This window comes from Homo sapiens, chromosome 5 (assembly GCF_000001405.40).
Source record: "Homo sapiens chromosome 5, GRCh38.p14 Primary Assembly".
NCBI lineage: Eukaryota > Metazoa > Chordata > Mammalia > Primates > Hominidae > Homo > Homo sapiens.
The window spans coordinates 54,729,345-54,756,393 of NC_000005.10; the positions used below are offsets into that span (position 1 = coordinate 54,729,345).

At 42.1% G+C, this 27,049-nt stretch overlaps 2 long non-coding RNA genes across 3 annotated transcripts in view, besides 2 other annotated features; one reads left to right on the plus strand and one right to left on the minus strand.

Annotated features, from left to right (window-relative positions):
• Nucleotides 1-8,122, plus strand: part of LOC105378969 (uncharacterized) — a 45,510-nt gene extending 37,388 nt beyond the window's left edge. For both annotated transcript variants that reach the window (XR_948330.3, XR_007058769.1), the window contains exon 3: nucleotides 4,994-8,122. This is a non-coding gene — a long non-coding RNA (uncharacterized LOC105378969). The remainder of the gene's footprint in view (nucleotides 1-4,993) is intronic.
• Nucleotides 1-14,914, minus strand: part of LINC02998 (long intergenic non-protein coding RNA 2998) — an 84,101-nt gene extending 69,187 nt beyond the window's left edge. Inside the window, exon 1 of the long non-coding RNA NR_104658.1 lies at nucleotides 14,515-14,914. This is a non-coding gene — a long non-coding RNA (long intergenic non-protein coding RNA 2998). The remainder of the gene's footprint in view (nucleotides 1-14,514) is intronic.
• Nucleotides 15,136-15,280: an enhancer, noted in NCBI's record as "145 bp enhancer 222 fragment used in the MPRA reporter construct; PK_construct_3556". NCBI's record gives its function as "activates an SV40 promoter by MPRA in HepG2 and K562 cells {active_cell/tissue: HepG2 | K562}" and the evidence as "EXISTENCE:reporter gene assay evidence [ECO:0000049][PMID:23512712]".
• Nucleotides 15,203-15,213: a transcriptional cis regulatory region, noted in NCBI's record as "NFE2L2 motif; enhancer activity is reduced when this motif is scrambled". NCBI's record gives its function as "necessary for full MPRA enhancer 222 activity {active_cell/tissue: HepG2 | K562}" and the evidence as "EXISTENCE:site-directed mutagenesis evidence [ECO:0005528][PMID:23512712]".

The window sequence follows — 27,049 nt, forward strand, 5'->3', positions numbered from 1 at the left end:
AAAAGGCAAAATGTCTGCAACTCCCGTACTTCAGTCACATCTATATGACTAATGAGAACATTACCATCATGATGAAGAAACTCTACTTTTCTTCTGGAAAGTGTTTTTTTTTGTTTGTGTTTGTTTGTTTTGTTCTTTTTGTTTTCTTTTTTTGAGACAGAGTATCGCTCTGTCACCCAGACTGAAGTGCAATGGTGAGATGGTGCAATCTTGGCTCACTGTAACCTCCGCCTCCCAGGCTCAAGTAACTCTACTGCCTCAGCCTCCCAAGTAGCTGGGATTACAGGTCCCCCCCCCCACCCCACCCCCACAAAACCTAGCTATTTTTTTTTTGTATTTTTAGTAGAGATAGGGTTTTCCGTGTTGGCCAGGCTGGTCTTGAACTCTTGACCTCAGGTGATCCACCCGCCTTGGCCTCCCAAAGTGTTGGGATTACAGGCGTGAGCCACCACAGCCAGGCTGGAAAGTGTTTTTAAAAAAATAGTTATAGAACCTACCTCTTACTGAGTGAAAATGAAGAATCTTTCCAGCACCTTGGCACCTTTTCACTTAAAGAAGCTTCAGGATTTAAAACTCAGATGAGCACAACAGATATCCCCCACTGCTGCTGACAGCAGCATCTTTTGGCCAGACCAGCACTTCCTGGGCTCATGGCTTTCATCAGCATCACAGATTTCAACGGGAGCCGGCAGGCAATGGCTATTTGAGGACCTAAATAAATCTAAAGAACACTCAGTCACAATTTGGAATTTGTGAAGCACATTGGTATTATTCTTGCTTTCAAAGCAGATTATAGAATCAAAGATTAAGAAAATAGTTTTTCTAACTTCTGGCCATAAGAGAACCTCAAAAATTAAACTCCATATGAAGAATCAGGTGTAGACCACATGTTCTCACTCATAGGTGGGAACTGAACGATGAGAACACCTGGACACAGGGCGGGGAACATCATGCACTGGGGCCTGTCGTAGGGTGGGGGGAGGGAGGGAATAGCCCTAAAAGAAATACCTAATGTAAATGACGAGTTAATGGGTGCAGCACACCAACATGGCATGTTTATACGTATATAAAACCTGCATGTTGTGCACATGTACCCTGGAACTTAAAGTATAATTAAAAAAAAATTCTTTTTAAAAAAAGATTACCCTGAGATGGCCAGGCGCGGTGGCTGATGCCTGTAATCCCAGCATTTTGAGAGGCCAAGGCGGGCGGATCACGAGGTCAGGAGATCGAGACCATCCTGGCTGACACAGTGAAACCCCACCTCTACTAAACAAAAAAAAAAAAAAAAAAAAAAAAGAATGCAGGTGTAGAGAAGTGGAAATCTTATCTTTCAGAATGAAACTTTCAGAAGAAAAATATACATGTGAGAGGAAAGAAATTATATGTTGTTTACAGTGCTTAGGCCTAATATGGTGGATTACATTTTTATAGATGCTATTGTAGTTTTCTCACCATTATATTTGATGGTAGAAGAATTAATATCTCAGGGATTTTGAAAATCTATTATTTGGAGCAACATGAGACTCAAAAGCTTGGTCATATGAAATAGGGAGAAAAATTTAAAAATACTTATCATCTTTGGAACCAAGAATTTATATCAATATATGTCTCCTTTTTTTGTAACTCTTAAATTGACACTTCCAGAAATTCATCTAGAAGCTTATTCAGATCTCATATACCTAAAAATGGAAGTTATAGATAAGAAGCACCATCTGCCTCATGGAGTACCTTAATGATTGGAAACTGAATCATCCCTAAATTATGATCAGAATTTAGTGCAGAAATAGAATTAATAACTCAGCAGCCTAATATGTAGGCAATTATTTATTCTATCTCACTTCCTCATCTGTAATATGGGGAAAATACATACCTTATTTATCTTATAGGATTGATGTAAGCCTTGAATGGCGTATTATATTTGCAAAGCCTTGCCTGAATAAGTAAATGTTATCACAGTACTAATATTACAAACATTTATTGAGCTTTATGTGTCTAGCACTCTTCTATATTCAAGAAATACCAAGTTAAAGAAGACATGAATCCTTGCCTACAAGGAGATCACCAGCAGCTGGAGCTTGCTTTTTAATCCAATTTAGCAATCTACCTTTTAATTGGAATGTTTAGACCATTTATAATTAATGTGATTACTAATACAATTGAATTGAAGTCTACCATCTTGCTATTTGTTTTCTTTTAGACCCATTGATTTTTTTTGTCTCTTTTCCTTCTTTTCTACCTTCTCTTCAACTGAATATTTTTAATAATTTTATTTTTTCTTATTTGTTGGTTTATCAAATGAAATTCTTTGCTGTGTTCCTTTACAGCTTTTATTATACATTTTTATTATGTATTTTAACTTTGTGTAATATTATACTCATTCACATATATAAGAGCCTAACAAAATTATACTTCCATTTTTCCCCTCCAAGCTTTGTGCCAGGGCAGTCATACATTTTTCTTATATGTATGTTATAAACTTCAAAATGTGTTGTCATTATTTAAAGCAAAAATGAAACTTCACAATACATTTTTTTTTGCTTTAAAAAGTGGATTACCTCTTAAAGACATTTAAATAATAAGAAAAAGTTTTTATATTTACTCATGTAGTGATCATTTCTGGTGATCTTCCTTCCTTTATGTAAATCTAGGTTTCCATATGGTATCATAAAAACTTTCTTTCAAATTTCTTATAGTGTAGGTCTGCCAGTATGTATTCTTTCAGCTTTGTATGTCTGGAAAAGCCTTTATTTTGCCTTCATTTTTGAAAGTTATTTTCACTGAATAAAAATATTATAGGTTGATAGTATTTGTTTTTCTTTCAGCACTTTAAACATGTTGTTCCTCTGTCTTCTAGCTTGCATTGTTTCCAAAGATAAATCTGAGGTCACCTTTATCTTTGTGCTGTATGTAACATGTCTTTTTCTCTGGTTGCTTTTATGATTTTATCTCTATCAGTGGATTTAAGCAATTTAATTATACTGTGCCTAACTAAGTTTAGTTTTCATCACATATTTCACGTGTATGAGGTTTGTTGAGATTTCTGAATATGTGGGTTTAGCTTTCATCAAATTTGGAAAAATATTGACCATTATTTCTTTAAATGGTTATTTAGCCTCCCTGCCACCACTTCTTTAGGGACTTGAATTACACATGTATTTGGTTGCTTAAATTTGCGCCAGAGTTCAATTATTGTTTTGGGGTTTTTTTTAAGTTATTTGTTCCCCATCTTTCATTTTGGATAGTTCGTTTTGTCTTGAAGTCTATTAATCCCCTCTGATGTCTTCTACAATGTCAAATCTGCTAGTAATCCTATTCAGGTTATTTTTAATTTCAGACATTATAGTTTTCATCTCTGAATTTTTAATTTGGGTCTATTGTATATCTTCCATGTCTCCATTTAACATGTTAAATCTGTCTTCTAGCTTCTGGAAAATATGGAATATATTAATAATAACTGTTTTAATGTTTTTGTCTACTGATTCTACCAGTTGTGGCATTTCTGGGTGTGTTTTGATTACTTCCTTTTCTCCACATTATGGGTCTTATTTTCCTAGTTTTTTTTCCCAGTAATTTTTGATAGAGTGACAGACATTGTGAATTTGGCTATGTTGGGTGCTGGATATTTTTAATTTGTGTAATTATTCTTGAGTTTTCTTTTGGATGCAGTTAAGTTATTTTATGTTTCAGGCCTTGCTTTTGACTATCATTAGGCTCAACCAGAGCTGCATCTAACTTAGGGTCAATTTTTCCCCATTACTGATGCAACATCCTTTATAATACTCTAATTCTGTCCAAATTGTTAGATCTTTCCCACTCAGGCTGTTGGGAATTGGCACTTTTCTCAGGCTTTGTGAAGTCTAAGGACTGCTGTCTTTAGTCCTTTCAGATGGGTCTTTCCCTGGCCTTGGGTAGTTTCCTCACACACATGCATTCAATTGAATACTCTAGGAGGACTCTTTTCACATCGCTGGAGTTGGGTCTCTGGGGAGCTCTCTTCTTTCCAGTATTCTGCCTTGTAAATTCTAGCCACTTTGGCTTCCTGGATTCTGAGCTATGTCTCCTAAACTCAGTGAGACAACTGGGCTCTTCCTGGGTTCTCTCTCCCTGCGCTGCAACCTGGAAACTTCTCACATGCAATAGAGAAAGTTTCTTGGGCAATTATCTGGTTCATCTGATTTGTTTCCCATCTTTCAGTGATCATTGTCCTTCATTGCTTGATGTCTAATATCTTGAGTGCCATTGTTTTCTATATTTTTGTTCAGAGTTTAAGCTGTCTTGAGTAGGACAGTAAATCTAGCTCCTTTTATTCTGGTTTGCTCAGAAACATAAGTCTTTTTAGGACACATTATAATTACTTCAATAGAAGCAATCATGATGGCAAGCCTTGTCATGGAATTAGAAGACAGAAAACTTGACTTCATTATACTAAGCAAAGAATACAGACTACCCAAGGCAAAGGAAGCTAACTCTTCTCCTCCTCTAAGCTTGTCTTAACTGAGCAGTTGAGTGCCATCAGCCAGCTTAAATGAACAGCTGGAATTATAATATCCTAAGAGCTCTGAATTAGATTTGTGTGTAGTGTTGTTGAGGAGTTTCATTGTAGTCCTAGAAGGATACCCATGGGCATCTGATGCCCCTTCGTGCCTGCTATGGTCTGAATATTTGTGTTCCCTCAAAATTCATATGTTGAAATCTAATTTCCAGTGTGATAATATTAAGAGGTGGGATCTTTTGGAGATAATTAGGTAATAAGGTTGGAGCCTTCATACATGGGATTAGTGCCCTCTATAAAAGAGGCCTGAGAGAGCCTGTTTGCCTCTTCTACCATGTGAGGACACAACAAGAAGGGACCATCTATGAGCCAGAGAGTGAGCCCTTACCAAACATTGAATCTGCTAGTGCCTTGATTATAGACTTCCCATCCTCTAGAACTGTAATTAATAAACTTACATTGTTTATAAGCTACCCAGTCTGTGGTATTTTGTTACAGGAGCCCAAATGGACTACGACAGTGCCCAAGAAAGACATAAGGGGAAGAGTACCAGCTGAGAATACATACCAAAGATGCTGTCTCCAGCACTGCATGGGACAAGGATGAAGCCTCATCAGCCAGCTGAACTGGAACAAGTATATTCTAAAACTCCATCCTATTTTAATTTTTCTATTTTTAATGCAGAGTTAATCCATATCAGCTTTCTTAACCATAAAGCCATTCCAAGCGCTAACTTTTGTTTAATTAGCACTTTGCAAATTAAAACTTCAGTGTGAAAAGTATTTTAAGCATATTGGATGGAACAAAGTATAGTTTGAGAATGTTATCCATCATATAGGAATGGATCAGACAGAACACTGTGAAATCAACAATGTGCTTTTATTAATATTCCTCAATCCCAGTCATTATCCAATAAACCTCATTTCTTCCTTCTTTTATATGCTTTGACACTTGGGATCATCACTAAAGCCCCTTTCAAGCTTCAACATTCCATTTTTTCCCAGACGTTTGCTAGTCTAGTCAATTTATTAAGAACTGAAATATAAAGAGGTAAAATGTAAAATAATCTGAGTAGTAGAAAGAACACTGAATTTAAGAATCAGAAAATCTCTTTCAGTCAAGAATGTGTACATCTGACTTTGTAAACTTGGGGCATAAATCATTTTAACCTCTCTAGGTTCTATTACTATCACTATTTTGGGGTGTGAATAAATTATAAGTCTAGACTCACCTATGATGTCAGAATGAATTAAGCAGATATGGAAGCACTTTTGAAACATAAATTGCGATTGCAACTGTCCAAGGCCACAAAAGAAATTACTAAAATAACTCAAAGGAAGTGTTATATATCAAGGATTCAAAACACAAGAAACATCCCTAAAATATAACATTCTAACTGATTTTCTTAAAGATTGATCTTTTTTAAAAGTCACATAAGGGTAATGATTGAGGAATGATCTGCCACATCTTGCAGCCTGTGATGTATTGTTCAGTGATATCATTGTGGCCAACGAGGCACCAAAGAGCAGGCGATCACAGTGACATCATGGCAGGATCACTGACAATGCTCGTGATGTGACGATTCTTTATCATTTATATGTTGGGCTGGTTATAAAGTATTTAATTGGTATTGTTCACATTTATATCATGTGATGAGACATTCTTGTCACCATTATTCAGTTTCTGAATATTCTTGGTGAATGATCTTCAGGGAGCCCTGGCTTCTGACCGAGGGTTTCTATCCTTTGTCAAGCCACCCTATTCCCTCACTTTTCAATCACTTTACCTATGACTAATAGAAAGTTCAAAGCAAAAACCTATTGATTAATTTTCAACTAGCAACAGATAATGAAACACATTTTGCATGTACATTTTTGGATTCCCATTCTCCTGACCAAAGTAAATTGGCTGGAAATAAAAGACATGTAAAAAATCTCATGCAGTTGTACTAATTGATCTGAGAGGAAAAATGTAAAATATGTAGATACCTTGATTGTCTCCTCTTCATCCCATTGACTAGGGAGGGATTCCACACTACGGTTATGGGGATGGCCCAAGATATGACATCTAATACTGGACAGATGAGATTGACAGTAGTGTACAGTCCAGGGGAGGAGAGGAAGATACTGCACCATGCAGGGCTGAATGGGGATGTGCTCAGGAACAGAGTGAATAAGCAGACCCTGTGGAAAGCAGGCTTTATAGTAGCAAGAGCATGGAGTGACTCCTTGTTTCTCAGATGGATGTGATCGGCTTGTTTGAATAATTCAGTGGGCTGGCAGGGAACTGAAGTCTACTACTCAGGGATAAGCAGGCACTGTGCCTTGTCCTTGTAATAAGGAGGGTTGTTTGGCTAGGACACCTTATCAGTAGGAGCGAAGTGTGTAGGATGATGCAGTTAGGACATCAGAGGCCCTCCCAGTTTAGATGTCAAAGTAGCACATCATTGTTATTTTAAGCCTTACACTACAACAGACATCATATAAAGACACTTACCAATTTGGACCAGGAGGCACAGCTCCCATAACTTCTATCGTCCATCACTTTTTACCCCTGCTCGTAAGTCAAACAATAAAGGAAAGTCCTCTCAAAGTCTTAGACAGAATTAGGAGTGCTAAGAGCATTGTTGAGGCCATTCCTAGCCTTCCTTCTTGTTCAGAAACTACAGATCGAAAGTCAAGGGGCCCTCCTTGGCAGCCTGCAGCTGGTGGCTGCCCTGTCTCCAGCAAAGGTTTTTCTGACTGTTCAGGCACACAACTGTGACTCCCCACGAGCAGACCCACTTACGTTTACCAAGACAAGATAACAGAGTCAATTAGCCTTGTCAGTCACTGTGACTATAACTTAGAAGAATAGAAGCCCACTGATCACACTTAATGAAAATACAAGGTGACAAGAAAGTCATCTGCAGCTGTTTATGGACAAGAATTTGGGGAAAATGTATTAAGAACAGTTATAATTAGAGATACACACAAAAACAGATATGCTATATGCTATATTATAATAAAATTGACATTATAATATTTACTATATTTACATACTGAATACATTTAAAACAATAAAATTAAGTGAAAACATTTTTGTTGTGCTTTTCTGTTCAGTGATACTGTCTGGTTTTTTTATTAAAGTTTTAAATGTTAAATGATGACATTTCAAATACACAGCCAAGTACCAAAATTATTAATAGACACTCATGTACCAACCTACCATATTAACAGACATTAACATTTTGCTTTACTTGCCTTAGAATCAATTTTCTCTGTTTTAAAAAGCAGAAAGCATTAAGCACAGATAAAGCACCCCCATCTCATCCTCTACCTTTCTCTCCAGAGGTAACCATCACCCTGAAGTTAGTATGCTTCTTTTCATGTATGTACATTTAAACTTATGTTAATATTATATAGACATGTCCATAAATTATATATACTGTTATTTTGTGTGCTTTAAATATTTATACAAATACTAGAAACCATATGGTACATTTCCTTTTGTAACTTGCTTTTCTTGCCAACATGTTTTGACATTTATCTGTGTTAATATATTTAGATCAAGTTTGTTCATTTTAACTTTCTGTAGTATTTTATTACATGAATAAATGAGTTTATTTACTCATTTGCTTACCGAGAACAGTGGTGTTTGTTTTTTCTTTGTTTTTGAAGCAACAAGAAATATAATAGAAACAATCTATACTGCAAGGAAGATTTTGTCCAAGTCTCCATGGGCACATATGTAATAGCCACTGTAGGCATTAGCCCTATATTTGATAGATGGAAAAACATTTATTTTTGATGGCTCAGCTTAGATAAATATGATATATTCACCGTTGTTGTTGTTGTTGTTTTAACAAATCTTCTTTTCATGATTCTTCTAATAACATTAAAAAGTTAATTTTTCTTTCTTATGGAAGCATGAAATATAAGTTCCCTGATAAACACTATTACCCAAAATTCTTCAAACGAATTTGTGTCATATGTTTTAATATATAAATATTTACACCACTGACATTTAAAATAAAATGTGGGTAGATACAGGGCATTTAACATTAATATACTTCACACATTTACCTGTGTAACAAACCTGTACGTCCTGCACTTGTATCCCAGAACTTAAGATTAAATTAAATTAAAACATTAATATACCCAATGATTGCTGATGGCTAGCTTACTTCCAGAATAACTGCAGGTTCTCTATTCCTCCACCTGGGCCTTGCACAGTTGTTTCCACGAGTTCCTTGGGTGCCTGAGATGCTCCAGTGAGCTGCTGCACAGTCCTCTCATGATGTCTGTGTCTGGCCTCCTCCTCAGTGTCTGCTTTCCCTAAGCCTGTGAGGATTCATCTCATCCTTGTCTCAGAGCACCCTGGCCTCTGCAGCTGTAGATGCCCTGGTCTAGAGTCCTGCTTCCTGGATCTACTGTCCTCTCAACTGACGCTGGACAGGAGCCAGCCCCTGAGCCCTCACTGTGACTAAGCTGTGCTGAGTTCCAGGAAGAAGTGGAGGAAACATTTCTCTTCCCAATTCAGTGTCACTTGGGCCTGAATGTGGCACTAGTTATGCCTAAACCCCATGAAATATAACAAAGCCTCTTAAAACCAGGCTGCTGGGCTTACGGGTCTAGCCCCTCTCTCCATGGGGCTAGGTTGGGGAGCAGCCAGTGGTGACCATTGTCCTTATTCTCTTCACTGTCCTTTCTCTACCAATCTACTCCACAGGCATCCCTGCATACAACTCCCTCCTGGCAGCCCCATTCTCTACACAAATACTCATGCAAATACACTTCCGAGAGCCAGCCCCACATAACCTGATAGGTCAGTTCTAGATTTCTCTTTGGGTACAGCCAAGATCCCTGCCCACAGATACAACACACAACACACACACAGTCGACTTACCCCACACCACACCAAACATACTATCAGTATCTTCAGTCTTCAACAGCTCTCTCTCTCCTGGCTCCTTCCCACGGCTCCTTCCTGTGTTTCCACGTGTTCAAGTCTCTTTCATCCTGAACTAAACAAACAACTTAGACCTTCCATAGACCTGCCTCCTCTCTACTTCCCCAACTCTCTTTCATTCTTCAAGGACATATATTTTTCTTTTAACCTAATTTGAAAATTTTACTGATGTTAACTGTAGACACATCAGTATTATTTAATGTTTACAGTGAACATATATTCTATTTATAACTAAAAAAAAATCATAGACTCCATGATGGGTTGAATTATGTCTCTCAAAAAAGAAAAGTTCAGGTCCTAACCCCCAGGACTGCACAGTGTGATCCCATCTGGAGATAGGATAATCAGATTAAAAAGAGGTCATCGTGATGGGCTCTAATCCAATAGGACTGTTGTCTTTATAAAAAGGGGAAATGTGGACACAGACGTACGCACAGGGAGAACACCGTGTGAAGATGAAGGCAGAGATTGGGATGATGCTTCCATAAGCCAAGCTACACCCCAAATCATCAGCAAACCACTAGAAGTGAGGGGGGAAGCTTAGAACAAATTTCTCTCTCAAAAATCTGAGATCAAGTCTGACTTGACCTCACACTTCTAGCCTCAAAACTGTGAGACAGCAAGTTTCTGTTATATAAGCCATTCAGTATTTGGTACTTCATTTTGGCAGCCCAGGACACTGATATTGTCTCTGAATCTCCATTCCCAAATTTCAGTGGTGTCCTCCACCCATCTCTCTCCACTGCCTCATCTCCCATGCATGCATCCACTCATCGATACCAGACCTCTGTGGTCATCATTCTGCTGTCATTTTCTCATCTAAGCCACCAATGACCTTGTTGCTAATACTGATGGAACATTCTTCAGCTCTTTCCCAACCCCTCTGCAACATTTTACCTTGTTTCTCTGTCCCTTCTTTCTCTTGTCTTCCATGGCACTGCACTGCCGAATCTTTCTCCTGCTTCTTTGGTTTGCCTTAGTGCCCTTTGGATTTCCCTCCAATTGCCACTTCCTTAAGTGGAAACGTTCCTCGGGGTTCTAGCTCAAGTCCTCTTATCTTGACAGGTTAGCCTATTCTTGAGGATTCTTATCCATTCCTGTTGGCTTTAAGCATCATCTGTCATCAGAATCTCTCATTTAGATTTTTCTCCCGGATTTCAGGCTCCTTCGTGATCAGAGCTCATTTGTTTGATGGAAAAAGAAACCCACTCAAACTAGTATGCGTGAAAGGGGGTTTCTTGGGTGGAATCAGGGTTACTTGACTGCTGTAAATAGCGAGAATTACACACCTCACAAAGGAGGGACAGAAGACTGGAGAACAAAGCCCAACTTTCTCCACATCCCTCCCCCGTGCCACCTACTCCCCATCTTTCAGCAGATTCCAGGGGAGAAACACCCAGGGACTTCCCCTGGGTTCCCTAAGCTTGCCCTCGAAGGAAGTACAAGCTCAGTTACCTGTCTGTAGTCTGGTCTCTGCTTTCCTCCCAACCCTCATCTCTCTGCTCACTCAGTCACTTTCTAGGTGCCAACCACACCAGCTTTCTTCAAATCCCTGGGGGCCTCCAGCGTGCTGGCCTCCAGGCCCTGGGTATGACTCCTTTCATCTTCCTAGAACAAGCCACCTCCCTTTCCACTTGGCTAACTCCAACTCCTCCAGTACATCATAGCGTACATCCACTTCCTTTTGAAAGTGTTCCTGCTCACCTATACTCCGCCGCCACCACAATTCTGAGTTTATTATTCTGGATTTGGGGCTCCCAGCACCCAATGTTTCCCACATCATGCACCCACACTGTGTGGCATTTCCATCTATTCTTCCACGCCCCCCACTGAGCTGAAAAGCTGGAAGCATCTGTGGGACACAGCTGAGCTTGGTAAGGTGTGTTTGTTAAAAATCACAGGAACCTTTGAGCTAGCACAGGCCAGTGTCAACCTCAGTACTACTGACATTTTGGGCGGAATCGTTCTTTTGGGGGAGAGCTGTCTCGTGTGCAGCACAGGATGCCACACAGCACTGTTGGCCTCTACCCACCAGATGCCAGTTACACTCTCCCCTCCCTCAGTCAAGACAAAAAAAAGTCTCCAGATGTTGCCAAGTGTTGCCAAAGTGTTGCCAAAATTGCTCTTGGTTGAGAACCACTGGTTTAGGCTAACAGGGGTGTTTGTCACAGGGATACTGGTGAGAACAAGGGGCTGATGTCGTTAGGGATTCCAGCAAGTGGACTTCCTGTGTTCCCCAGAATCTTGACTTAGGGGCTGAAACAGCTCTGCAAATGGTGTCTGCCTGGAGTGTGGTCTGTGGACTATGAAGAGCAAGGTGCAACCAGCAGGAGCTGATGCCCACGCATCAGGCAGGTCGTGGAGGCCACGCAGGAGAGTTGGGCTTTCTCCTCCTCACATGTTGGATGCAGACAGGAAGCAACATGGTGATATTTGCAATGTAGACAGATGGAGGCAGCAATGTGAGCAGATGTGCAAAGGGTGGAGGTTTAAGACAAGAAGTCTGGACTCTCCATTAGAGGGCTGCAAGATAGGCTGTCACAATGGTGTGAATGAAAAATGTGAGAGCTTCAACTGAGGCAGCAGTTATGCCACCTTCTCCCTCTTAGTATTTGTGGTAATGCTCGGAGAAGTACACTTTTTAACCTTTTTATTTGGTAATTTGTTTCTTCTTGGTAGGAACAAAGACCTGGATACAAGCAAGGAAAATAGGGTACTTAACTAATTTCCTAGGCTACCTTAAAAACTAAGAGAAATGGAAAATTTGATGGAGAAAAGAAACATTGTAATTTGTTTGTCATAAATTACATTGTAATTTAAATGTGAGACATTAGAACAATTTAGTTTTTATTCCTGCCTATATTATTACATACCATTCTTCCTTGTTTTGAAACTCTTAACTAGGTGAGGCAGAGCTAGAAATTGTCTCCTTATATACTTTTCCTGAACAAAGGAATTCCAAATTTTTGCTGGCCTCATAGCTTTTGGAGTAAGGTTTTACAGGTATGATAAGGAGACTAAGTTCTGGCCTGATATAGCAGAAGTGAGGAATGTGATTCTTAGAAGTTTTCCTAAAGGGAGGAAGTGAATTCTTTGTTCTGTTTTGCACTGGCTTGAAGGCAGACATGGTGGCTGGCGCTTCAGTAACTATATTGGGCCATGAGCTGAAAGCACGTGTTGAGGATGTGGCACCGCAAAATAAAGAAGCCCCGCTTCCTGATCCTGCAGAACAAGGGCCAGCAAACTTTTTCTCTAAAGGGCCGAATCTTCAGTTTCGTAGACCCTACAGGTCTCTGTCACCACTAGTCAATTCTGCCATTTGAGAGTGAAAATATCCATGGAAAATATAGAATAAATGAGTTTCTAATGTTCCAATTTGTTTTTCGATAAAACTTTATTTATGGACATTGAAATTTGAATCCCTTATAATTTTCTTTTTTTAAAATTCTATGCAAGGAAACAGTAGAATCTCTCATCATTTTCAGCCATTTAAAAAAGGAATAATAATTCCTAGCTCCAAAGCTATACAAAGACCCTGGGGCCAGATTTGGCATGGGGCATGTTTTGTCCACCCCTGAAATAAATCACCATACAGCCCCAAATTGTTGATCTTTAGGCTTTACCTACAGGAAAGAGACACTTTGGTGTTGCTTCTGCTAGATGGAGTTTGCTCTGATTCAGCAAAACGAATTCCTGACTTATGATTACTAGATGCAGCAGCCCCTGGGGGTGCTCCACCCACACGCAACCCATATCAATTCTTTTCCAGCTCCGTGCACCCTTCCGGGTTTCTGTGGCTTGCTTCCAAGGCTCAAACTTGCAACTCTCTTTTAAGATAACCTTAGGTCCACTGGCACCTGTGGCTGGAAAGTTGGAAGTGCCTGAGAATTTACATGCCCTCTGGGCAGCCCTTCCCTAGAGAACTTCAAAGCCTCGCTGACTTTTGCATCTGGACGAACTCAGACAGAATTTTTACCCTGGAGTTCCCCTGTAGAATCAGGCACAGGCCTCCCTCCTCAGGACTTTGCCTGACATCACACCTTTGTTTGGTTTGCTCCCGGCTCCTGTCCTGTTTTTCCTGCTCTTTCCTGGACTTCCTATGGGAGCACTTCCTTCACAATTCACGTGCACATAGCCCTTGTCAAGGTCTACTTCTGGAAGCTTCAATCTAAGCCATAGTAATCATCCTTGCTCAAGGAGATTTTTCTCCAGACTCCAATAAAACAGAAGAAACAGCAGTCTCCTCTTTACAGAAATAAAAAGGAGTGTTCTAGCTAAAGCCCTTTTTACAGAGCAGCATAATGGGTAAGAGCAGGGGCTCCAGAGTCAGCCTGCTTATAAACAGTCTTTTGGAGCCTCAAGATTCCTCATCTGTAAATTGGAGCTAATGACAATGACAGCACAGGGGTTGTGTTGAGGCTATGTTGAATATCATGGCACTTACACATCCCATCCAGCACACAAGAAACACTCCATAAAAGTTAGTTACTATGAGCATCATTAATATGTTGTCTGAGGCATTTTGACACAACCACTGCTACTTGTAAATTCCAACACAGAATTTTCTTGGTACATAATAGAAAAACAAGTGCTATCTGCTGCTCTGTGAGAAGCTGATGATGAATTACCAAATAAGATTTTCTACTTTGTAGGTATATTTGAATATCAGTATGTCCAATTAATTCAGTATAAATATAAAGGACACATCCTGCTTGAAAATGTCAGCAATAAGTTAGGCAAATGGCTGCATTCTGAAACCAGGCATACCTGGACCATACTCCCAAATATGCTGCTCCTGTAGAGACTTCAGTATTGATTTACCCAATCAGATTGCCAATACTTACCTCCTAAGGTTATTGTGAAGATTAGACAAAACTCTGCATAAAAAACACTTAGCTACTCTTTATTAGGAATTTACTATGTTCCCGGCACTGTGCTATTGTTATCCATGCCCAATTCCCCGGAAGAGAAGTGGAAAGATTCCATACATCACTGGGATACCTTTACCCTGATGACAAAGGCAGCAATGGCACCGACTCCCAGAAGATAATCTTTTAGAAAATAATCACCTGGTTTTTTCCTCGGCCATTAGCCTTCTTGGGTCAGTTTGCTAGAAACCAACCCCCCAACAACAAAGAAACTCCAAGGAAAATGAGCCTCTTCATTGCTGCTGAAAGCAGGGGGAACTGCGTCCTCTTACAGGCTCTTTACTATGGTTGATACAAGTGAGTCTCCATTTTTTAGCTTCAGTACCATCCAGTCAATGCTTTGTAGGAAGAGCTGCATGTCGGAGTGTTAACCCGCCAGTGTTTGTGCATCTCTCTGGGAGCCCTCCTGGCAGAGCCCTCCTCTGCACCAGCACAGAGGTCTGATGTGGGACGGTCAGGCTATCAGAGCTCAAAGAGAAAACAAATCTCTTCTGTATAGGCCAGGAAGGCCTCACCAAGGAGCCTTTTTGCTCTGCTTGGGAGGGAATGGAAAGAAAAAAAGGGAAAACCACACCCTTCGAAGGCCTCAGTAAATATTTGAAGCGTGCCTAGGTTTGGCCAAATGAGAACTCCCCTTATTTAAGTATTTATGAAATGATCAAATAGCAGGATTGTATTTCCATGAGCTAGAGAGTTCTTATTTAGTGACACAGATTTTTTTTTTGTTCAAACTTTTTTCTTTTTTTGCCACATTCAGCAATTGCTATCAGATGCTGAATGTCTGTGGTCACATACTCAGCTTCCTGTTTATAAATGCGCTCTGTTTTCAGTGAGTCAGCAGTTTCTTGTTCTACAGAGAGGTAAAACTGGTGGTGTCAGGGCCGTGGGGGGTTGAATGAGCTTTGTGAATGGCCCAGTGTGTGCTGGGCCTCAGGATTTGTGTGAACAGGTACTCACACTGTCTGTGGCTGTCCATAAGCTGAAATAATTCAGCCCAGTGAGTTTGGTGGTTTCTCATCTGATTCTGTCCAAGCGAAACAAAGCCAGACACTAAAGTGGTAAGGACAGACATTAACCAGTAATAACTATTGCAATAGGGAAGAGTCCAATGTAAACTGAACTCAGCTTCAATTTGTGCAGAGGTGACTGGACTTTTTTTTTTTTTTTTTTTTTGGAGACGGAGTTTTGCTCTTGTCACCCAGGCTGGAGTGCAATGGCACAATCTCGGCTAACTGCAACCTCCACCTCCCAGGCTCAAGTGATTCTCCTGCCTCAGCCTCCTGAGTAGCTGGGATTACAGGTACCTGCCATCACACCCGGCTAATTTTTTGTATTTTTAGTAGAGATGGGTTTTGCCATGTTGGCCAGGCTGGTCTCGAACTCCTGACTTCAGGTGATCCATCCGCCTGGGCCTCCCAAAGTGCTGAGATTACAGGTGTGAGCCACCATGCCTGGCCAGACTAGGCATTTTTAGGGAAGAATGAGGGAATAGGAAGGAGGGCAAACAGAACCAGTAGGGTCAGGGAAGTGAAAAATTACGAAGGGCTGTTCAGTATAAATGCAATCAGACCAGCTGTGCCTGCTAGCTGGCAGTTAGGAAAGTTAGGATTCTATCCTCTCTGAGACTGGGAGACAGAGGTCCTTACCCTTCCTGATGATTACATTCAAAGGAATAGCTTTCAGGGCCTTGAGAAACACACTCCTGGGTTGTAGGAGATACATATACATCTCAAAGGTTACAGAGAACTCAAAATTGCCCTTCTTAGTAAGTGCTCTACGAAAGAGTGGTCAGGCTAGTTCCAGGTGTGGGCTAGAGCAAGCAGTAAATCCCCCTGGGCAGCCTTGAGTTTTCTCAGGCAGGCATCCTTAAGGGGGTAGGAGCATCCTGGGGATGTGGCCTTGAGGTATTGGAAACCTTATTAGCGATTGTGCAAGTGTTTTAGAGCAAGGCTGAGGCCTGGCTGAGAAGAGGGCTCAGAAGAGCCTGACTAGAGTTTGCTCAAGGTCAGAGTCTTTGTCACTGTGAGGCAGCCCAGGGTCTGTCTTTGGCACTTCACTCACTTGCTTTGGTGCTACTGCTTCCTGACCTCGCCTACCAGTCCCGTTGTCAGCTGCAGTGGCCTCCAGCTGCCAGGTGGGCTGGAACTTCAAACGACTGATGTCCTTGAAGAGCCTGGGAGTTCTGGACTTTCCTGCCTCCCCTCCCTTGGCCCCAGCACACACTGCTCCATCTGCCCCTCCTTCCACACCCTCTTGTAAGCCAGCTCCACATCGCCTTTGGAATTCGGTTTTTCCTTCATCTCTTCGTGTGAAAGCCTCCCCTGAGCTCCAGTACCTGGGTTTGGCATTCCCACAACACCAAGCTCTTCTCTCCTGGAGCATTTATTGCACTGTATTTCAGAGAATAGTTAAGCACTGGTTTCCCCCACTAAACTGTAAGCCATAGGAGAGCAGGGACTAGGTGCAATTCAATCAGCAGGTGCTTACTAAGTGCTTGCTGAGGAGTGGATGGGTGGTACCTGTCCTTTGATGCCTCCTCTCAGGACCCTGTTCTTAATGATTGGGAACACAGGCTCTGGGTTTGAATCCCAGCTTTTCCAATTACTCGCTGTGTGACCTTGAGCAAGGTGCTTCACCCCTCTTTGCCTAAGTCATCTCGACTGTCAGGAGGGTAGATGATGATCTCCATCTCACCGGCTGTGAGGGTTAAAGGTGTTGTATGTGTACCTGCTTGGAAGAGAGCCAGGCACAAGGAATCTTCAGTATTATTACCATTGTGTGTTCCAAGGAGGCCATCGGCTACTCTGCCAATGATTCATTGAGTGAATAAACGCCCAACAGGGCATTGGCCTTTACTGCTTCTGTTTTCTAACCGAGAAGAATGACTTTGAGAAACTCAATACCTTACTCCCCACCGAAGCCTGGCTGGCTGGTGTTCTGATGTGGGGCAGGTGCCACGTGGAGCCATGGAAGCTGAAGGGCAGAGCTGTACCTGGCCAGGACACTGCCTCCGCCTCAGCAGCTTCCCTCTCTACTCTCCCATCTCTGTTTCCCCCAGAATTGCCTGCGCTCAGGTGCAGCTTTCCTCCCCTGCCCGTTCCAACCTGGACCCTCCCCACAAACTCTCTCACACTCTCTCTCTGTCTCTCTATCACTTACACCCTCGCACGCACATCCTTGCAGGCACACTCACACTCTCACATGCACACTTTCACGTGTATATTCTTACACTCACACACATTCTCATACACACTCATGCACACTCACACACACACTCATTCTCACACTGTCTCACACTGTCTTCATCATTCACACGTACACAGTCACAAACACTCACACACTCTCACGTGCACATTTACGCTCCCATATACTCTTACACCCACACACGCACACACTTTCTCATGCACACTCACATATACACACATTCATACTCTCAACTTTCTCCTTGTCTCTCCCATGTACACACACACACTTTCTGATGCACTCACACTCCCACATGAACATTCACACTCTAACTCATATATTCTTACAAGCATACACACACACACTTTCTCATGCACACACACCGTCATATGCACACTCACACATGTTCATACACTGCCTTATGCTTTCTATTTGTCTCTCCCATGTACACACACACACACTTTCTGATGCACTCACTCTCATATGCACACTCATGCACACTTACGCCCACACTTACACACACTCTCACACTGTCATCCACAAAACAACAGGAGCTAAGATCACCAGTGGCCTCTGTGCCATGGAGGCCCAGGACATTTTCAGTCTGCAGTTCCCCAACCCCTCCCAGCAGCATCAGAGTTGCTGGGTCCCCTTCCCTGTCAGGACACTCTCCCTCCTTGGATTCCAGGGCCCAGCGTTCTCCTGGTTTTCCTCCCACCGGTTCTCTGTCTCCTTTGCAGGTCTGCCCTTCCTTACTCGGCCAGTAAGTTCACAGACTCTTCCTCCTCTCTCTTCCTGCCCTCTGCCAGGACATCTGGCATGTGGCTCCAAATACCAGGTACAGGCAAACAGATCATGAGCAACCTCCTTCCTTATACCTGCTCTTCCTTTTACCTGGAATGTATCCTACTTCTAGGTCTCTGTTCAAACGTCACCTTGTCAGAGAGAACATCCCTGGCCACCAGAACTAGAATAGCCCCTTACTCCTTCTCACCATCTATCCCATTAACCCTGGTTTAGTTTTCTTTCTTCCCTGTTACTGCCTGAAATACTCTATATTTGTTTATTATCTGTTCATCCCTACTAGAGGGTAAGCTCTGGGAGAATTTGCAGCAGATACTAGTCTAGGTGCCAGAGACATAGCAGCAAACAAAAATGTTAAGGTCTTAATGAATACTTGAAAAAGTGTGTGAATGAAATGAAATTTTAGCTACAGCATTCCTCCAAGCTCCAGAGCAATAGAGTCAATCACTGACTTGACAGCTTCTCCTGGATGTCTCAGCAGTATCTCAAACTAAGTCTCTCTAGACCAACAGAACTTTCTATGACAATGGAAATAGCCTATATCTGCACTATCCAATGGGGTAGCCACTAGTCACATGTGACTGGAGCACTTGAGATGTGTCAAGTGTGACTGATGAGCTGAATTTTGAATTCCATTTATTTTTAATTAAACCTAAAATGTAAAAAGCCATATGTAGCCAGGGGCTGCCATGTGGGGCTGTGTAGTTCTTATCCGAACTGATGATCCTCTGCCCACACCTGGTCCGGTGGTCTCGACCTTAACAAATGGCACCACTATCCACCCAGATGAGAAAGCCGACAGTGAGGAGTCATTCTCGACCAGCTGCCTTTCCTGTGAGTCAATCCATCACCAAGTCCTATTGATTTTGCCATATATATATATTTCCATTAATTCCACTGCTGACACCACCCCAGAGGAAAATACATCATCTCTCATCTTGATTAAAGCCTCTTAACTGAATTGTTTACTCCACTTTCCCTTTCTCCGATTCAGTCTCCATATTCCTCCAAAGGGAGCCACAATGCATGGGGTGCACCCTGACCTTGCATCACCCATTCATGCAATCGAATATCCTTCAGTGGATGGCTTCTTTGGATGGCCTGCATGTTCCTGCAGGGGGCTGAGTCCTGCTCATCTTCACTGCAGGCTCTCTGCCACTCTCTCTGGGCTCCAGCCACAGAGGCGTTGTTTCAGTCCCGCATTTGGGTCATGCTCCCTCCCACCACAGTGTTAGTCTCCTCTGATCACAGGCAAGGTCACATCCCTATTACATGTTTTCACACCACATACCTGTCCTTGGCACTTGTATAGTTATGTAGCAATTAACTAACGTTTTCCTTTCCTACTGGACGGTAAGCTTCCTGGAGCAGGAACCTTATGTGTTTTCGTGGCCACTTAGCAATATCTGTCTAATAGTAGAAGCTCCATGAATATTGTTGAGTAAATGTATAGCCAGATAGTCTTTTGAGATAATAACTATGTTTTTCTTTCTTTCTTTTTTCCTGTTGCCCGATTGAGTCAATGATAGTGGATACAGCTTAGAACAAAAGAGTCAACTGGGGAGACCGGCTTGGGAAACATGGCAAAACCCCATCTCTACTAAAAATATAAAAATTAGCAGGGCACGATGGCACACACCTGTAATTCCAGCTACTTGGAAGGCTGAGGCATGAGAAGCTCTTGAACCCAGGAGGCGGTGGTTGCAGTGAGCCGAGATCATGCCACTGCACTCCAGCCTAGGTGACAGAGGCAGACGCTGTCTCAAAAAAAAAAAAAAAAAAAAAAGAGTCAATTAGCTACCTCAATGAATGTTTTAAACCCATAGCAAACACGTGTTAAAAGGATGCTTGAGAAAACAAACATTTTTTAAATCTCAGCTTTGAATTAGCGAAGTCTATGTTCTGGTTATTGTAGCCATGTGATAAATCATCCGCAAACCTAATGACATAAAGCCATGGCTATTTTTATCATGCTCACAGATCCTGTTATAGGTGAAATTGTGACCTCTCCATCAAAATTCATATGCTAAAGTCCTAACACTCGGGGTACCTTAGAATGTGCCCATAATTAGAGGTAAAGTCTTTACAGTGGTAATTATGTTAAAATGAGGTCACCAGGGTGGGCCTTAATCCAATAAGACTGCTCTTCTTTTTTTTTGGACATAGACATACAGAGGGAAGGCTCAGGGGAAAGACAGCCCTCTACAAGCCAAGGAGAGAGGGATCTGAAGAAACTAAACCTGACAGCACCTTGATATTGGATTTCTAGCCTCCAGAACTGTGAGAAAATAAATTTCTGTTGCTTAAGCCACCCAGTTTGTGGTATTTTGTTATGGAAGCTCTAGCATACTGATGCAGATCTCATCAGTCAGAAATTAGGAAAGGACTCCACGGTGACAGTTGATCTCTGCTCTGTGATACCTGGAGCCCCAACTGGGAAAACTCATAGGAAGGGGGTGACCCTATGACTGGAGGGCTGCAGTCACAGGCAAGCTTGTTTATTCACATTTGTGGCACCTGACTTGGTGGTATGTGTTGAATTTGTGTCCCCCAACTCACCCTTATTCATATGTTGAAGTCCAAGATCCCATTATCCCAGAATATGACGTTAATGTAAATAGGATTGTTGCAGATTTAATTAGTTAAGTTAGGATTAAGGTCACACTAAAGTAGGATGGCCTCTAATACACCATGACCGCTCTCCTTATGAAAAGGGGAAAGTTGGACACAGGCCCACACACACAGGGAGAACTTCACGTAAAGATGAAAGCAGAGACCAGGTGCAGTGGCTCACGCCTGTAATCCCAACACTATCGGAGGCCAAGGCGGGCACATCACCTGAGGTCAGGAGTTCGAGACCAGCCTGGTCCAACATGGTGAAACCCTGTCTCCACTAAAAATACAAAATTAGCAGGACTTGGTGATAAGCGCCTGTAGTCCCAGCTACTCGGAAGGCTGAGGCAGGAGAATCATTTGAATCTGGAAGGCGGAGGTTGCAGTGAGCTGAGATCATGCCACTGCACTCCAGCCTTGGTGAAAGAGTGAGACTATGTCTCAAAAAAAAAAAAAAAAAAAAAAAAAAACAGAGACTGGGTGATGCAGTAGAAGCCAATGAACACCAAAGATTGCCAGCAAACCACCAAGAGCTGAGAGAGGCATGAAATAGATTTTTCCTTGCAGTCTTTAGAAAAAACCAACTCTGCCAACATCTTGATCTGAGACTTCCAGCCTCCAGAACTGTGAGACAACACATTTCTGTTTGTCTCAGTGTTGTACAAGCCACTCAGTTTGCAGTACTTCGTTACAGCAGCCCTGGAGAGAGAACACAATCAGGAAGACTTCGGACCAGCACACCTATCCATGGACTTTCTGCGTATCTTCCCATGGACATTTCTGGCTTCAGGGCAGTCGGACTTCCATGACAGCTCAGGATTCCAACCACGTGTGTGTTCCAGTGAACAAGGCAGAATTTGCATCACAATTTATGACTCAGTTTTGGAATTTATTCACTGTCACTTCTACCATACTTTATTATCAAAGCACCTCACTAATTCATCCAGATTCGAAGGGAGGAGGGTTAGTCTCCATCTCTTCACGAGGGAGTGGGAAGATCCCATTGTAGACGACCATGTGAGATGAGAGATATTGTTGTGGCCACTTTGGAAAATGCAATCTGTCACTACCCAGAACTTGAAGAAGAGAGCATAAAGCATTCAACAATAGATAGAAAGAGACTAGATGAAGAGCTAGACCTATGCCTTTCTTGGGTGGAGACAGATAGAGAGTTGAGTTCTCACATCCTGAGAAAGGTGCGAGAACTCTACTCACTGCTGAGTTAAAGCCCTGGCAGTGACAGTGAAGGAACGAGACCCAGGACATATCTAGGAGGATGCCAGGGATGGGGACCTGAGACTTGCTGCCCAGATACAGTTCAGGAGATGCTAGTCCCACAGAGAAGCTCCTTACCACCACAGTGCCAGTGTGGTAGAATGAGAAAGGCTGAACGAGATATCTAGGAAGACATGCCTGAGGGCAGCCACAGAAAACCCCTACCACTCTAGCACTGGTTGGAGACAGCACACAAGAGTTCTCCTGGGAAGTGTCCCCTGGGGACAGGGTGTGTGGATGTAGCCCTGAGAGAACCAAGGACATTGGCAATGGGGGCCAGCTCCTTGATAATTCTGCATTTTTAGTGCCTTTAACTGTGGTTTTTCAGTGACACTATTCTGAGGTTTGCTTTGTTATTTTTAAATTAACATTTGATTGATTAAAATTACAAATTTTAAAACCTACTTCTACCTTTTGCTTTTAAGTGAAGCTTGTGAATAAAGTTTGCTAGTCTTGCAAACATTTATATTTGAACAATTACTTTTTAGGGGATTTTTGCTTAATATGTGATCCATTTACAAAGTTAAATACATTTAAATATTGCAAATGACATTTATACTTTTAATATATTTATTTCCACTTAAAGGCTTTCCGCTTCATGTCCACTTCAAATTTCTAACTTCCAGAGTTAGAAATTTATTAGATTTAGAAGGACTACTTAAACTTAAATATGGTGAACCTAAGTTATCTTAATTGTTCCAGTGCTATATAAAACAGTAAGATTTTTACTTAAAAATAACAAGGTAAAATCAATTACTCAATTTTTAAAAATTGGACTTATACGAGTGGCCATTTAGTCTTTTTTTTCTTTTTTCTTTTTTCTTTTTTTTTTTGAGATGGAGTCTCACTCTGTCACCCAGGCTGGAGTGCAGTGGGGTGATCTCGGCTCACTGCAACCTCCGCCTCCTGGGTTCAAGCAATTCTCCTGCCTCAGCCTCCCGAGTAGCTGGGACTACAGGCATGCACCACCACACCCAGCTAATTTTTGTAAATTTAGTAGAGACGGGGTTTCACCATGTTGGTCTCGATCTCTTGACCTCGTGATCTGCCTGCCTCGGCCTCCCAAAATGCTGGAATTACAGGCGTGAGCCACCGCTCCCAGCCCTGAGTGGCCATTTATTCTAAGTCCAGTTCTCTTAAACATTATAAACACATGAAATATAAAATATTTTATATACCCTAATATAAAATTCATATAAAATGTTAATATTGTTGCTTGAAGTCCTCAAATATTTTTATATGTAATTCCAAATCTTTCCAGTTCCACCAAGGAAACCACTCTATAACCCCACACAATATTTACAGCTAACCTTTTCAGCTTTCTTCTTCTTGCATTAGATCAAACAAGGGTCTGGGAGGCTTGGCAAGGACCAGAAGACCGTGGTGGTTGTATGCAGTGGACAACAGAGCTTTAAGGAGATGACCTCTGCCCTCTAAGTTCAAGTTATAAATGTCCTAATTCTATTGTCTGCTCAAAGAGATTGAGACTTGTATCGGGATTAGTGTTGATTAAAGTCTCTTGAAAAAGATATTGATGTATTTTAAGAAGTAAAGAAATGCAAAATCGAAAGAGAAACTTGCATTCTTTCAGATCTGTCAGTCCTTTGGCCCTAAGAATAGTAACACGCTCTGTGGTGGAACTGTGCACAGCCCTCATGGCTTCTCCAATCAGTGAGTCATTCAGCTGACACACACTGAGATGAATTTTACCTCCATGTATGCTGGCCTCTACTGACGACCACCATGGACCAAACAGCTCTGCCCAGGACCCTGCTATACTGTCCAGGAGCCTTTGTGGAATCACTAAGAGATGCCTCTTCCTCCAAGTTGAAACCACCCCACACAGGGCTCCAACTTGGAGAGGTGAGCAGAAGGGAAGAACTGCAGCTTTTGTTTGCTTCCAGATCCAGGCACTTTTTTTTAAGAGATGGGCTCTGGCTCTGTTGCCCAGGCTGGTCTTGAACTCCTGGACTCAAGAAATCCTCCCACTTCAGTTTCCCAAAGAATTGAGATTACAGGGGTGAGCCATTGTGCCTGGCCTCCAGGCACCTTTTGAGAGGCAAACAGCACAACTGCCCATGGCAGCTCTGCCCTACCTCTTTGATTCCAGAACTGAGGATAAGACCCCCAGTCTCTCAGCAACCCCTGCATAGAAGGGAAGGAGAAAAGAGAGAGGGACAATCCTGAATTAACTGTTTACTCAAAAGAGACTGAGAAAATTCAGAACTGCCAAACTACTCTGATTGGACAAGAATAAGATTCTCTAGAGAGCACAAATCGGGGCTCAAAAGCAAGGTTTTCTATAAAGTACATCTTGCATATAGATCACAGTCCTTAGCCTGTCTGGATCTCAGTTTCCACATCTGTGAAATGGGATGTTCTCTAGACCAATGCTTCTCAAATGTTATTATGCATAGAAATCAGCTAGGAATCTTGTTAAAATGCAGCTTCTCTTCAGTGGGGATAATGCAATGAATGTCTGGGATTCTGTATTTCCAGCAAACTCTCAATTATTTCAACCCCCTGGACCACACTTAATAAGTGGAGACAATTCTAAGATCTGCCACACTATGTTTACAAATTATCTGTTGTGAATAAACACCTAATTGTCTTATGCTGAGGACCTGACCTACAAAGCTAGAAATCACTTTTTAGATGAGCTCTATGTCTAAGAGCCATAAAGCTGCAATGGTTCTCTATTTTTGAAAAAGAATGGCCCTTCTCTCCCCTCTCCAGTTGCCTCCTATCCTCTCTAACCGCAATGCCATCCTTTTTTTTTCTTTTATTCATTTCACGATATCTGCAGCAAAGAGAAAAAAACAAAAGACAGTGCCACCAGAACCAAAGCTGAATGCTTGAGAGAACCTTCAGAAATATGCTTAGGGGAGGATAAAAATATATCTTTTGATAAACTTTAAATGGGTGATTGTGGAGGGTGGGCACGGGGACTGATGAACATTTTAGAGAAAACTGAGTAGATGGTGAAATATCTTAATGAAACGTGAGCATTAAACACTGAGACCACATATCCTGTTGACCAGTTCAGAAAATATGTTTTGAGACGAAACATTTGAAATAGCGATTGTCTCAGAAAATCCATAGCGAAAGGTCTCTGCGATGTTGATTTTATAGCAATTGTCACTCTTCTTCCCAGCAGGGGTGTGGGGGAAATACATAGACTGCATACATGCACACATACACGTATACTCACACATGTACATATGTATTATACACACATACACCATATGCTACACACACACATACACACACACATTCTCTTTTTTAATTGGCAAGGAACTAAAAACAAAATAACCAAGGAATGTCTTTTAATAGAAGCCTCACTTCCTTCCGCACAAACTTGTTAAGACTCTGTTAGTTACCTCCTCTCCTGCCCACCCCAAGAGACCCCGTGTGCTGTGATAGGCCTCACTTTGGTTGCTGTTCCCCAACAGACTTAGAGTCCTGAACCTGGGTCAGGCTCCAGTGCACAGAAGCCCACACAGAAGCCTGGCAGCTTCCCCTCAAACTAGAGCATCATGAAAAGGCAAGCAGTGGGGCTCCACCTTCCTTTCTCCAAAGGTTTCAGTGGGACATTGAGCCAGGCTTGCTCTTAGGGCTCCTGGGCCAGGGGTACTCCCAACCCCCAATTAGAGCAGCCTCTGTTCAGTGCCAGGACAGATAGCAGTGTCAGTCACCCACTCTTCTGCTCTTCCCAGTAGGAAACCTCATGTCGAGAGTACAAACAGATCCTCCGAGTTTTGTCACCTGCTCAATAATAAAAATGGGCCTAACTGACAAGGTTAAATGACCCTGGGCCCATGGTGCAGGGGCAGCAGCCCCTAGTCTTTGGATGTGCTTCTTTAATGATTGTCTTTAATTCTCCTAAGGAAAAGAGGATGGTTCTCCTCCCAGTTTCTGATTTTCTCTTCAGGTTTTTGATTTGGTATAACCTTAATAATTTTCCTGTGGCATCAGTGAGGGAAAATATCCATCTTGGATTCTGAAACACCCACTTCTAAATCAAAGAAACCTGTTTTAGAGTTTGTTTGTATTTAGAAAGCTAGTCCTTCCTCCCTCCTTCCCTTCCTTTTTTTCCTCTTCTCTCTCCCTCCCTCACTCCACACACATCTACCACAGGACAAAGATGAGTACTAGGCCTTATGAGACACCCAAGACACATTTCCTTTACTGGATTGTAAACTACTTGAAGGCACAGTTAAGACACAAATACAAATGTTTCCAATCTAAACAGCCTAAGAGAGTTGTTAATGAGATTTCAGAAAAAGGAGTGATAACAGCTAGTTGGAGATAATTCAGATTAGAGAGAATCCGAGAAGACTGAAAACTGATGAATGGGGCCTTACGTGCACAGGAAGTCATCTGGCATTCCTAGAAGAAAGGCCCAAGTAAAGCCAGTCGCCAGAAAATCAGGGGCTGCCTAGGGAATGGCGCATAGTTCACTCAAGCTGGAGTGTATGTATGTGAAGGATATAAAGATGGGGAAGTATATGGTGGCCAGAAGGTCTGGGTGCCAAACTAGGACATTTGATGTCATGGGTCTCCACTGCAGTGACATTACCCATCTGGCCTTGGGAGGACTCATTTGGCACTGTTTTGTAGAATGGACTTGGTGGGAACTGAGGGAAGAAACATCAGTTAGAAAGCTAAGTGGGGCATGATGGGGGCTGGAGTTGAGAAGATGACATTGGGAATGGACAGGAGGTAAAGGATGGACTAGGTAGATGGAACCTGGGGACTGGTTGGATGGGGGTATGTGAATAGGCGCAGGGAGTAAACACTG